General features: G+C 42.7%; 1 protein-coding gene across 6 annotated transcripts in view; it reads left to right on the top strand.

The window, feature by feature from the left end:
* MAGI1 (membrane associated guanylate kinase, WW and PDZ domain containing 1) overlaps positions 1 to 14,172 on the top strand; it is a 685,393-nt gene that overhangs the window by 175,306 nt on the left and 495,915 nt on the right. The gene's annotated exons all lie outside the window — the stretch shown is intronic.

Genomic DNA, 14,172 nt, shown 5'->3' with positions numbered 1-14,172 from the left:
GTGACCCACATTTGTATATCTCAACCAGGGCTGTCAACAAAGGTAATTGACCTGCAAAGAACTTACATCAAGGAAGTGGTCTCACTTTTATGATATTTGAGGCCAAGTAGTCATTTCTGGGCATACTACTTAATGATACGTGGAATGTGCCCTTATTTCTTTATGATTTTAAATTTACCCTATACAACATACCAAGTTCCTACTCATTCCAGCTAGTGTGTTAAGGATTAAGAATATGAAATTGAAAGGCTCTTAGCCTCTCTCTCCAGAAGTCCTCAGTAGTGTGAAAACACAGAGAGACACTTGGCTATATATCATAAGTAATAGTCTTGTAGTAAAGGAGTGAGCATAGTCTGTTCTGTCTATTCTGGTAGCCAGAAGACATGGTAACCAGTATCACATGAGCTCCTCAGAGGAGATGGTATTTGAACTGTTCCTTGAAGATTGATCCGAATTTTGTCAACTATTAAGGAATTTGGTCCTTTCTGATAGAAGGAACTCTGAGAGCAAAGATTTTGAGGATTGGGAAGGTTTATTAATGCCTGGTACTTATGGAAAGTACTAGGTACATTACTGGCTTCATGGTGAGAAAGGGGCTTGGAGAGTAGCTGGGCCTGGATTAGGGGAGACCTTGAATGCCATGCTAGGGAGGTCAGGTTTCATTCTGTAGATAGTGGGAACATACCAAATGTTTAAGAATGGAGAAAGGTAATGTTAGCTGCCATAACAGAGAAACTCCAGAACCTCTGTGACTTAATCTGTGAGAAATCTATACTTTCTTCACAAAATTTCCAAAAGAGGTGTTTCTAATTAGCAGGTGACTCTCTTCTAAGTGGTGATTCAGGGCTCTAGGCTCTGCATTTTGTGGCTCTGCCATCTGCAGCATGTGGTTTCCATGCCACTATGCACACTTGTGATGAGCTGGTGGAAGAGGAGAGAACATGGACTGTCATGAAGTTTTTTATAAGCCAAGCCTGAAATGGTCTCATGTCACTTGAGTTCACATTTCTGTTAGCTATAGAACCCAGTTACATGGTCCCACCACGTTACATGTGAGGCTGTGGAATAGAAACTAGGTGTGTGATGCAGGGTGAAGAGGAACAGAGTGGTAGATCCTGCTGTGCTGCTGTTTATGGCAAATTAATTGTGATGATGCTGGTGTTGAGAATGATCTAGAGGAGAGAAACACAGAGACAGAAAGGGAAGAGGGCTCATGGGGAAGGCATGAGTAATTAGATTAATGAAGTCTAACATTTATTGAGTATGAACTCTGTGGCAGGTGCTGTTAAATACTTAATACACATCAACCATATGAGAATAGGTACTGCTCTTTCCCCATTTTATAGAAGAAAAAACTGAGCTTATGGGGTAGCTTGCTGAGAGAAGAACCAGGATTTTCAGACCCTGGCTAGTCTTAGTCCAGCGCGTGAGCTCTTAACCTCTAATGAATGCCTCTTGCTAGGCAATGTTACCTTTCTGGGTATTCATAAAGAAGAGAAGGTAAACAAAAGAACCATGTCTTACATGAGGTGGACAGAGCCTCATTAGACATAGTGCAAAGAGAAGAATTGAAGATAAATAAGATGTCAGTTCTGGGAGCCTGGTGGTGCCAATTAGAGAGACAGGGCATGGTCTTTGTGACTTTTTGTGCAAGAGGTCTTACCGGTTGTTCCAGATCTGCCATCTTATGATGCGTGACGTGATTTAGCACTGTGGACTGCACATGCCTGCTAATATCTCAACAAGTTGCTTTATAAGGGTTTTTGTTGGCTGCTCTGTGTTGGTTTTTCAAGAAAAGTTAGATCCACATTTTAGACGGGACAATGAAGGCCCAGTCCCTGTGATTCAGCCATTGAGTCACTCTGCTCTTCATTGTACGAGTGTCTTTTTTTTCACGGCGCCCCTTCCCTCTGCAAGCTCCCACTCACCATTATGACTGAGGTCAAGTGGCTCCTCACTCTGAAACTTTTCATTGCCTCCTTGGACAGAGATGGATTTCCCTCTTCTCTGTTCATGCTGCACTGTTACCCATCTTTATTTATAATAATCTCTTCTGGAGTCTATTTTCCCTATTACAGTACTAACATACCCAGTTTCAGTGGTTTATATACAAGAGGTGTTAGTAAGAGGGGTAATACTTTTTCTGCAGATAAGGGGTTTAGTTCTTTTCTCCCCATGACTATATAAAACAGGGATTGCAAACTCCAAGTCTTTAGAGTCAAGAGGGTAACTCAAGAGTGACACTGGCCTGGCTGAGAGGGTCAGAAACTTTGGGTGGGGTGGTGACTGGACCAGAGAGTACTCACCTGGTATAAGAAATTCAAAACTTAATTAAAAATCAAACAAACATTTTGTTGGCACGTCAAATATTTGCAACAGCCTTCTTCAGCCTCCACGTTTCCACTTTGTGACTTCTGTTAAGGAATACGGCTCCTTGCCTCCCTGCAGCTGGAAAACTAGAGCGAGGGGGGCTTGCTTTCTGTCACTCATCCTTTTGAGTGTGTCCCTGGCCCCATGATCAAAGGCCGCGTTGTGGCTGTGCTTTGGCTGTCCCTCTCACATCCATGGAGATGCTGCTGAAAATAAGAACCTTCCTTAAAGAACAACCTATGCCCTTCTTATTTGAATTCTCTGTTACCCTAGAAGTAATGGGTAAAATAATGATTATTGTTTGTTACTTTGAAATGGTATTTGAATTTGAATTTGAATTCGAATTCTCTATGTTACCCTAGAAGTAATGGGTAAAATAATGATTATTGTTTGTTACTTTGAAATGGCTTGACAAATGTATTTGTCGTGTTGGACCTGGCTGAAATCTCTGAAGGACAATCTGCCTTCTCAGAGAAGCTGGGGAAATGGAAGAGGGAATATTCCTCACCGTGAACCTACCGCACGCATCCTGCCTTTCTCCCCCATGGAATCTGTTCAGCAGCACTGGCTGCCACGGGGAGGACAGACTCTTGACACCATCCTAGGGGACCTTTCTCTGGCACCTGGCTGAGCATGCCATTACCATGGCAGATCCCCATGGCTCCTGTTAGAGATCCCTGCAGCACACTCCGAGGACCTGTTCCTCTTTTTAATCGGTGCGGAGGGAGGGGAACGCGCGGGCTGCCCGGATCGGTGGCTTCTGACATGCCCCTGATCAACTCTGCCTCCGTGTCTCTATCTGTAAAGATGGCTCTGTCAATACCCTTGTCTGCAGTTCTGATATAAGGATTAAATACAATCACATATTTGTCAAAAGACAAAATTACAGTAAACTTAGTTATAGATCTAATTGGCTTTTATTTGCGATTCATAAATCTGAGCAGCCTCCTTCGAAATAGAATAAGGGCTCCCTCTGGGCAGTAGTAGAACAGTGAGTTTTGTTAGGTGGGAATGGGGAAATAGAAGAATAGAAAAAATACCTGATTAGGCTGGATGCGGTGGCTGACACCTGTAATCCCAACACTTTGGGAGGCCTAGGCAGGTGGATCACCTGAGGTGGGGAGTTCGACACCAGTCTGACCAACATGAAGAAACCCTGTCTCTACTAAAAAATACAAAATTAGCCAGGCATGGTGGTGCGTGCCTGTAATCCCAGCTACTCGGGAGGCTGAGGCAGGAGAATCGCTTGAACCCCGGAGGCAGAGGTTGCAGTGAGCCGAGATCGCGCCATTGCCCTGGGCAACAATAGCAAAATTGTGTCTCAAAAAAAAAAAAACAAAAACAAAAACAAACAAAAAAACACCTGATTGGTTAGCATAGGTTACTTTTTGGTAAGGGTTAAAGCAGAGGGGACCTACTTATTTTGCTGACTCAGGTAGACTGGAATCTCCTGTTTTCAAGAAAACCTGGTCTGTTTGGGGGATCTATCTGCTTCCTTAAAGTTTTTTTTTTTTGTTTTTTTGAGATGGAGTCTTGCTCTGTCACCCAGGCTGGCGTGCAGTGGCATGATCTCAGCTCACTGCAACCTCTGCCTCCCAGGTTCGAGTGATTCTCCTGCCTCAGCCTCCTGAGTAGTGCCACCTCACCTGGCTAATTTTTGTATTTTTTGTATTTTTAATAGAGGCGGGGTTTCACTGCATTGGCCAGGCTGGTCTCAAACTCCTGGCCTCAGGTGATCCACCCACCTCAGCTTCCTAAAGCGCTGGGATTACAGGCATGAGCCACCATGCCCAGCCCTGCTTCCTTAAAGTTTTAAGTTGCTTATGTGGCATTTAGCATGAGTGACTCCATGCTAAATGGAGTTTCAGTTTTTTCTGATTTGTAGGGGTCTAATGCAGGTGCTTAGCTAAAACAATGGCCTCCCATAAAGTTTAGCTCTTTTTTTTTTGTAGACGGAGTCTCACTTTGTCACCCAGGTACCTCCTGGGTTCAAGTGATTCTTCCACCTCAGCCACCTGAGTAGCTGGGATTACAGGCATGCGCCACCATGCCCAGCTAGTTTTTGTATTTTTAGTAGAGACAGGATTTCACCATGTTGGCCAAGCGGGTCTCGAACTCCTGACCGCAAGTGATCTGCACACCTCAGCCTCCCACAGTGCTGGGATTACAAGCGTAAGCCACCATGCCTAGCCAGTTTTAGCATTTTTAAAGCACATAGCACAATATCTGGCACACAGCAGGCCAACGTGTACATGATTCCTTCTTCTCATCCCTCCCTTTCTTGCTCTTTAAGTTTGACAGCTCCAATTATACTTATGGTGGATACAGAGAAACGTGGTGTTAGCTCATTCAGAAAGGAAGAGGAATTAACTGAAATAATAATACAAGCCAATCAGAAAATAGGATTTGATTTATTACTATTTTAATTTATATGCAGTTGGAGCAGATATATTTGCATAAAATGTTTCTTGAAAATTGCACTGTGGTTTCACCCCATGTCATCACAGATGAGTTTTTTGCAGAGATAATTAGACCAGGTCATTGGTGGTTTTAAAAAGCAAAGATTTCTGGTCACAAGGCTATCTTCCTCCTCCTTTCCTCTTCTCCAAAGATAGATATTCATAATTAGATCCTGTGATGAGATAAAGAGTACAACAGATTTAAAAGGAAAAGAATCTTCATTTCCTTCTGGGAAGAAGCAATTATTTAGTTATTCTTTATTTGAACTTTGAAAATCTTGGTTCTTATCTTTTACCAATTTATTAATAGCATTACCCAGCCAATCAGAGTCACAGATCTATAAGATGAAAAAATTAGTTGAATGCAGCAGAGACCCATTGATGTGTTGTCTCCACAACTGGCTTGTGTCATAGATGGTAGGCTGAGCTCCTTTTCCTAATCATTATGTTTATAAATCACAACATCACTTCGTATTATGTCAACATGGAGCAGTGAGTTCTTTGTCAACTTACCATATTATGTCAACATGGAGCAGAAGTCTTCTGGAAAGTTCTGCTGGTCATGAGTTTTGTTTGATGCTAAGGATGGCATTTATGCTTAGGCCATTATTAAAATATTATATTTGTTAACATCATTTTAGAATTAATATTATTTTTGTTTGTTTGTTTGTTTTTGAGACAATGTGTCTCTCTGTCACCCAGGCTGGAGTGCAGTGGCACAATGTTGGCTCACTGCAGCCTCAACCTCCTGGGCTCAAGCAATCCTCCCACCTCAGCCTCTGGAATAGCTGGGACTATAGGCACAAGCACCATACCAGGCTAGAATGAATACTATTTAAAACACTAGGTTTTCATGAATCCCTGCCTAATCACCTAAATGTTGTGTGATTAGACCCATTTGTTCCCCCCCTTCTTGCCTTCCTACCTCTTTTTAAATGTCTAAGGGATGTTTTCACTGTGTCCCCACGAAACGAATGTCACACAGGTAAAGCAGGCCCTTCTGTGTCTGTCCCATCTATGTGGGTGGCAGACTACAGCACCACCTGACTAGCTTCCTAGTACATAGCAGTTTTAAAAATTTCACCAAAGACAGCATCTAAAGTTTATAAACCTTTATAAGGTCTTCCAAGGGGCAATATACTTGGAAGAGCTAAAAATCACAGCTTTGCTGACCAGCTTTCTACGATATGGTATGGCAAATATCTCTACCAAGGCAGCCTGAGCGATTAGCTCTGGACCCTGAACCGTGTGACCCAGCAGGACCCTCTGCTCTTGTTTTCTTCTGTGTGATTTGGGGCTGATGATAGCTGCCCTGGCTGGAGTAATGCAAAGATTAGCAGTTGTAAATTAGAGAATAGCTAAGAAAGTCTTCTGATTTGCAAACAATCATAGGGTGATAATGAACAAAAGTTTATCAATTTTTAACTTCTTCAAATGTGAAGAATAGGACATCTCTGCAGCATTACTTGGTAGCATTTCTGTGTTTTGATGGTTCATAAAATCTGAACCAGTACTAGATTTTTGTGCTGTACTCTCTCATGTTTCTTTTCTCCAGGAAACTACTTGCCAGTCCTTGTAAAGATTAGCTCTGTTTCCTGTTCTAAATGCTTCTGACCATGACTCTGGCAACTGACCTTAAGAACAAAGGCCAACTGCTATTGAGAAAGAAGGGCTGCCTTTCTGCCAGGTGTAGCCTGTGCGTGTGCAGTGGCCATGAGCCCCAATAAGCCCCATTACCTCTGTTGGAGCTGGCCAACTCCTGTCAAGTAAACAGGGCCGTCAGGGTGTATTGGTTTTCATGTGATTCCTGTGTTTCTGGTAGGTTAGTTGACAGTTTCTAATATGTCACTGGATTAAGAGAAAAGGAAGTCTGGATCCATGGGCGATTTGAGTTCCCCTTCCGTTAGGCGTCTCATGAACTTGAGCATGCCCAGAAACTCCCATGGAGAGGCAAGGTCCTGTTAGTTTGTGCGGCTGGCTGGAGCCAAGAGACCGTTGTAGTTTTGCAGAGAGGGTTAAGACCATCAGCTCCCAACTTCAGTGTCCCAGGCATCAGTATGGAGGGGACACACTGACCTCTTGAAAAAGTGCCATTGACATTGAGGTGTAGCACGTGATGATGTCCTTACTTGTTCATCTGAGATATGTCAGAATGGAGGGGAGGAAAGCCTGGCGTGTTGTCTTAGAATCATTGTTTTCTATAGTCATGCAGCATCTGTGTCACCCGATGACCTTCTCCAGGCAGGGCTGTGAGGAAAGAACACAGCATTGGGCAGCATTGCAGTTTGGGTCAAATTGGATCAGATACCTGAGTTCATCGAGTCTTGCTCTGGTCACACTTTATTGAGTAGGACATTGAGTGTCACCATCTGCCATTCATTTTTAACTTCTGCCATCTGGGAGGGTATGTTACAGGGTTGTGGGAGGCAGGAATGGATAAGCTGTGCATTTGATTGGTATAGAGAAAGTTATGAGTATACAGGGAGGTAAAACCTGCATTCTACTCTTCTGGAGTCTTCTATTCCCTTTTGCTTTTTCTTCTCCCCAACCCGAGGGCGATGCCTGGACACCCTACCTAGACCTTTACTATCCACTATGGTAGCCATTAGCCATATGTGACTATTTAAATCGAAATATAAGTTAGTTAAAATTAAACATAATAAAATACTCCTCCCACCCAGTCCCTCAGTTGCCATAGTCATATTTCAAATGCTCAGTAGACACATGTAGCAATCATATAGGGCAAAGCAGATCTAAAATACATCCATCATCAAGAAAATTCTGCTGGTCAGTGCTGGACACAGTAAGCTCTGGAAGAGTCCTGTGTTGGTCTAACACCATGTCCTCAGGCCAGAGCCAGGGGTGCCTGGCATGCGAGAAGCTTCCAGTGACTAGCTGTTGCGTAAGTGAGGGAAAGAATGAGTGAGTGGATACACATGAATGAAGGGCTTCATTTCACATTTGCTTGAATTGGCATGGTGCTTTTCCCCACCAGAGCCAATGTATCTATGGGGGTTAATGGGCTATCCGGTGTTGGTTCTTACAAATCTACATGTGCTATCTCCTACTTTCTGATTTTATTTAATTATGTTTTCTTTTCTTTTCCTTTCTTTTCTCTTTTTTTCCTTTCTCTCTCTCTGTTTCTCCCTTCCCCTCCCCTCTCTCCTCCCCATCTCCCGTCTCCTCCAAGGTCTTACTCTGTTGCCCAGGCAGGGATGCAGTGGTCTCATCATTGCTCACTGCAGCCTATAACTCTGGGGCTTAAGTGATCCCCCCTGCCTCAGTCTCTGAGTAGTTAGGATTACTGGTGCAAGCCACTATGCTGGGCCATTTTATTTTATTTTATTTTTAAAGTTACTTTATTTTATTTGTAGAGATGGGGGTCTTAGCTTGCCCAGGCTGGTCTCAGACTCCTGGCCTCAATCAATTCTCCTGCCTTGTCTCCCAAAGTGTTGGGATTACAGGTGTGAGCCATCGCACCAAGCCCTTTCCTCCCATTTCTTTGGTACTGTTTATCTCTTTCTGCGGATCTCAAAGCAAACATTTCACAGGCCTTTTTTTCTCTTGTGGACTCACAAGGCTTCCTGCTTATAATGGCATCTTTTAATGAGCACATCCTGTCTGCTGGTTAGGGTGCTAAGTGCTTCAGGCTGTAAACTCACCCCCGCCCCCCACGGATTTGGGCAGGTTTTTATCAGCCCAGAGTTTAAATAATAATTTTTATGCTTCAGGTGTGGCACACCCTCTGCAGCTGCAGCCAGCACCATCCATCCCCTCTTGCATAATACCCAGCAGATGTTGTACGTAGTTATTTATATTACCTTCCTTGTCCCTGTAGACGTTTGACTTTGCAGCCCTTGATTAGGGGATGCTGTTTACGTTTCCAAGGTGTCATACTTCTCCCTTTGGTTGTGGACTTCTGTGGACTTCTCCCTTTGGTTGTGGTTGTAGGTATTCCCCTTTCAGTAGTGTGACCATCTGTCATGGCTTTGCACCCTGGGAGGTTTGCAGGAACTGCGAGTCATGGTGCTACCAGATGAGCCAGGCCACAGCAGCTCATTTAGGTGACAGAGACTAGCTGTGTTTTTAGGTTTGTGCCTCATTTGCAGAACCCTCTCGTGGGACATTTTATTCAAATTCTTCCAAACAAAACTTCCTTGAGTAGTATTTGTAAGAACAGCATTGAGCTTTTCCATGAACATATTGCAAAGTTATCCATTTTTCAGAAAAGGTGGCTGTTTATTTTAATCACATGGAAATGGTGGTTGTGAAGACGCTGGCATGGGAATTTCTGAGCTTTTGAGGAGAACTCAGGATTTTCATGGAGAGATGGAGGCACATTATTGCCTCATGCACCTATTCTTTCAAAGTTGTATGTACAAAGCACTGTCACATTTACTGGGACAGCAAAATCCTTGAGTGAAAAGGAGAAAGTGTATTGCATGTACTCATGTCTCCTTGTTTCTTTCTGCTACTTCTTTGTTGTGTTTTGTCTTAAATTTGAAACAGGGTCTCACTTTGTTGCCCAGACTCTTCTGAAACGCCTGGCCTCAAGGGATCCTCCCATCTCAGCCTCCTGAGTAGCCGATGCTTTTTTTTTTTTTTTTAAACCTTTAAATAAAAGATTAGAATTTTTACACAGCTAACCTGTTTTTGTCAGGGCAACTTTTTTTTTTGAGACAGAGTCTCGCTCTGTTGCCCAGGCTGGAGTGCAATGGCATGATCTTGGCTCACTGCAACCTCCACCTCCCTGGTTCAAGTGATTCTCCTGCTTCAGCCTGCTGAGTAGCTGGGGCTACAGGTGTGCACCACAACACCCGGCTAATTTTTTTTGTATTTTTAGTGGGGATGAAGTTTCACCATGTTGGCCAGGCTAGTCTCCAACTCCCAACCTCAGGTGATCCACCAGCCTTGGCCTCCCAAAGTGCTGGGATTATAGATGTGAGCCACCACACCTGGCCTGTCGGGGCACTTCTTGATTGAGATAACCACTTTCTCCCTGGAAGGCTTCCATATTGAGTATCAGCAGCAAAATGCATCAAACAGAGAGAAGCATTTTGAAATCATTTAATAAAATATGGTCTTGTGAGGATAGAGACTGCTTTTGTTTCCTTGCATTCAGCTGCCCTTTTTTGGATACGTCTCAGGTTTTACTTACTGATCCAGAAATTCATTGCTTGTCTCCCTAATATTAAGTTAATGGGGAGGTTAGTGTGGGCAGAACTGAGAAATGAATACGTTTTGATACATTCCAACTTCCCAGCAGCTGGTAAAAGCATGGTATGCATTTTAGACTTTTGATATTGAAACATTTGAGGGATGGAACTCGTGTTAAAAATTTCGTCAGCACAAAGTATGCATAGGTGAATGAATTAAGATCTTATCTTTGCCCTACTAGGAATTTACCTATCAATGCATTAAACATGTACTTATAGAACTATTTATATCACACAAGCAAGGTGATGTTTATGGTTTCAGTTGAGCTGTTTACCACATCATGTTGGGTTGGGCTATCATTAATCTGAAGACTTATTTTTAAATCTTGAGTTATGAATTAACAAAGATGCTGCTGATGTGTCCCAGAGTAGAAACCACAATTAATTTTTTTTTTTTTCTTGAGACGGAGTCTCGCTCTGTCGCCCTGGCTGGAGTGCAGTGGCACAAATCTCGGCTCAATGCACTTGGTTCCCGGAGGGAACCTCCACCTCCTGGGTTCAAGCGATTTCCCTGCCTCAGCCTCCCGAGTAGTTGGGACTACAGGCACGTGCCACCATGCCCGGCTAATTTTTTTTTTTTTTTTTTTTGTATTTTTAGTAGATACGGGGTTTCACCGTGTTAGCCAGGATGGTCTCGATCTCCTGACCTCATGATCTGCCCACCTCGGCTTCCGAAAGTGCTGGGATTACAGGTGTGAGCCATGGCGCCCAGCCAAAACCACAAATATTTTCTGATACTTTGCCGATTGCTTAAAATTTGTTGTTGGCCAGGTGCAGTGGCTCACGCCTGTAATCCAAGTACTTTGGGAGGCCTAGGCGGGCAGATCACCTGAGGTCGGGAGTTCGAGACCAGCCTGACCAATGTGGAGAAACCCTGTCTCTACTAAAAATACAAAATTAGCCAGGCGTGGTGGTGCATGGCTGCAATCCCAGCTACTTGGGAGGTTGAGGCAGGACAATCACTTGAACCCGGGAGGCAGAGGTTGCGGTGAGCTGAGATCATGCAGTTGTGCTCCAGCCTGGGCAATAAGAGTGAAACTCTGTCTCAAAAAAAAAAAAAAAAAATTGGTGTCAAGTGTGTCTTCAAACATTTTTATGGTAATGGAGGTGTGTGTATATACGCACGTCTGTCTAGTGTTTACCTACTGGGTAGAGTTTTACATGTTGTTCCACCATCTGAAACACAACGTGAGAGCAATAGTAACAAGCAAGATATGTTTGCTCACTACCCTCCTCTTCCTTTCTGGGGAGGCTCAAAACTGATGCTGGCCAGGTGCAGAGAGCCCATCCTAGACAGCAATGCTACTTCCATCGCCAGCTACCTTGTTACCTTGTGGAAGACACCAGCAGGATAACCTTGGCAAGGATTTCTTCCTTATGATAGGGCCACCAAGGAGGACAGATATAGGTAGTGATGATGCATGAACTTGCTTGGTATTTAGGCTGTTTACAGCCCTACCAGATATCTTCCTGGTTTGACAAGTTTGCCTTGGGCCCACAATTCCTTGAGCCTTCCCACTTCCAGCTCAATGTATTCGCTTTTATTCCTACTTAAAAACCTTCCCCATATGATTCAACTTTTGGCCTTTATCCACATTCCTCTCAAATTCTTCCCCCGTTCTTGCCTCTTTCGCAGATCAAAACTATGCAATATCTTCCTCCTTATGATGCATATGTTCTAAAACTTCTTTGATTAAACTTTTTTATATTACTGAACATAAACATTCGACTTCTGCCTGTATATTTTTGAAAATATTTCCAAACATATGTGGCCATCTTGTATGTGTATGTACATGTTAGCCTAACACATTTTTTTTTTGAGACAGAGACTTGCTCTGTTGCCCAGGCTGGAGTGCAGTGGCACCATCTCGGCTCACTGCAGCCTCTACCTCCTGGGTTCAAGCGATTCTCCTACCTCAGCCTCCTGAGTAGCTGGGATGACAGGTGTATGCCACCACGCCTGGCTAATTTTTGTATTTTTAGTAGAGATGAGGTTTTGCCATTTTAGCTGGGCTGGTCTGAAACTCCTGACCTCAAGTGATCCGCCCACCTCGGCCTCCCAAAGTGCTAGGATTAGAGGCGTGAGCCACCGCGCCTGGCAACCTAACAGATTTTTTTTTATTTAGTTTGCAAGCTTACACTCCATCACCAGTGCCCATCAAAATCCAAATAAGGCAACAATGTAATACTCATAAGTCATTGTGTGGGAGAAAATAAGGTAATCAAGAGATCTGCAAGATAATAGTCACTTTTGTACAGTTCTTGTTAATATGCAGAGCACTTTTATGTATATGATCTTCTTTGATAGCGTCAACAATCCTGATGTGGATATTAGTTTTATCCCTGGCTGAGAGATTTAATTACTCATTTAGTCAAACTCCAGGCATAGTTCTAGGTACCAGGCATACAGCAGTGAACAAAGCTAAGTCCCTGCCTTCTAATGAGGCATTTTTTTTTTCTCCAGATGAAGTCTCGCTCTTGTCCCCCAGCTGAAGTGCAGTGGCGTGATCTCGGCTCACTGCAACTTCTGCCTCCCCGGTTGAAGCAATTCTCCTGCTTCAGCCTCCTGAGTAGCTAGGATTACAGGCACCTGCCACCCTGCCTGGCTAATTTTTGTATTTTAAGTAGAGACAGGGTTTCACCATGTTGGCCAGGCTGGTCTCGAACTCCTGACCTCAGGTGATCCGCCCGCCTCGGCCTCCCAAAGTGCTGGAATTACAGGTGTGAGCCACCACGCCGTGCTTGAGGCATATTTTTAAAATAAAGGTAGCCTGACTGGGGCCTAGAGCAAGGTTAATGACTGTTCTCAGCCGTGGAGAAAGTAAGGGAGGGAGTGAACGTTGCATCCTGGTTGTTTCTGTGTCGGTGGCTTTTCTTCTAAAGCACTGCTTATTGGTCTTTTTCTCCAGTGTGCCCCTGTAAAAACAGAGGACAAAAAGCCCAACATTACTTTGACAGCTTGAGTTCTATTCTAAAAGTTCATCCAGAGTTTATATCGTATTCTATTATATATCTTTGTTTTAATGGAAAACTCTTTTAGATGATGTAATGTTCCTCCCTTGTATCTTTACATTCCAGGAAGAGGTGTCTTGCTTATCTTGACACTTCAAGGATATCTTTGCATTAGGATGACTAGCCATCCTGGTTTACCCTGGATTGAGAGTGTTCCTGGGATGCAAGACTTTCAGTTTTAAAACCCAGAAAGCGCCGGGCAAACTGGGATTAAGTTTGCATATGGTTTCCAGGTTTTTCCATACTAAAAGTGGTCAAGACTTAGGCAAATTGTGACAGTTGGTCATTCTAGTTTGTATACTGCAAAAGAAGGGGACTGCATTTACCATAATTTACAGCATGACACAAACACATGGGTTCAAACTCTTAGTATGTTCTGTAACATACATTTAAATTAGCACTATTTTTTTATATATATAAAGAAATAGGGTATTCAAACAAGTTTGGCTGGTAATGTTTTATTTCACTTCTAATATCAGTGATTTAGAAAAAAATATAGGGTATGACCCTAGATCATAATAGTATATAAATGATATAGTACATAATTGATAAATTAATTTCAGATACATATTCTTGCTTTGAACCAAATTAGTAAAGTGACTAATTTATCTGCATTTCAGAGAAATTGTGCAGTTTAAAGTTGAATCTAGAGAGGGAGAGCTGGTTTCTTTGGGGTTAAATTTCTGTAGATTCCCAAACACTGACATCAAATCTTTAGTGGAACCTGGAAAAAGGAAGGAGAAAGTATTTTAGCTCAGTTAATGTTCTTCCTTCGTTAGATGTGATGAAAAATACACAGTCTAACCATTGTGTAGAAGAAATACTTGTTTCTTAACAGCAGCAACAAAATGTCATTTATTAAGCACTTACAGACATCTTACCAGGCTTTATTCTTTATTTCATTTAGTTGTTACAACCAGCTTATGAAGTAGTTTATCAGTCAGTATTAGACATCTAACAATAACAGACCAGCAACCCTCAAATCCCAGTGAGATATATATATGTGTATATATGTATATTTGATGATATATATGTATATTTGATGATATATATATATGTATATTTGATGATATATATATATATATATGAAAGTTTACTTTTAGCTTAGGATACTT

The sequence above is a fragment of the Homo sapiens genome, chromosome 3, assembly GCF_000001405.40.
Source record: "Homo sapiens chromosome 3, GRCh38.p14 Primary Assembly".
Lineage (NCBI taxonomy): Eukaryota > Metazoa > Chordata > Mammalia > Primates > Hominidae > Homo > Homo sapiens.
This window is presented reverse-complemented; position numbering and strand designations above follow the sequence as displayed.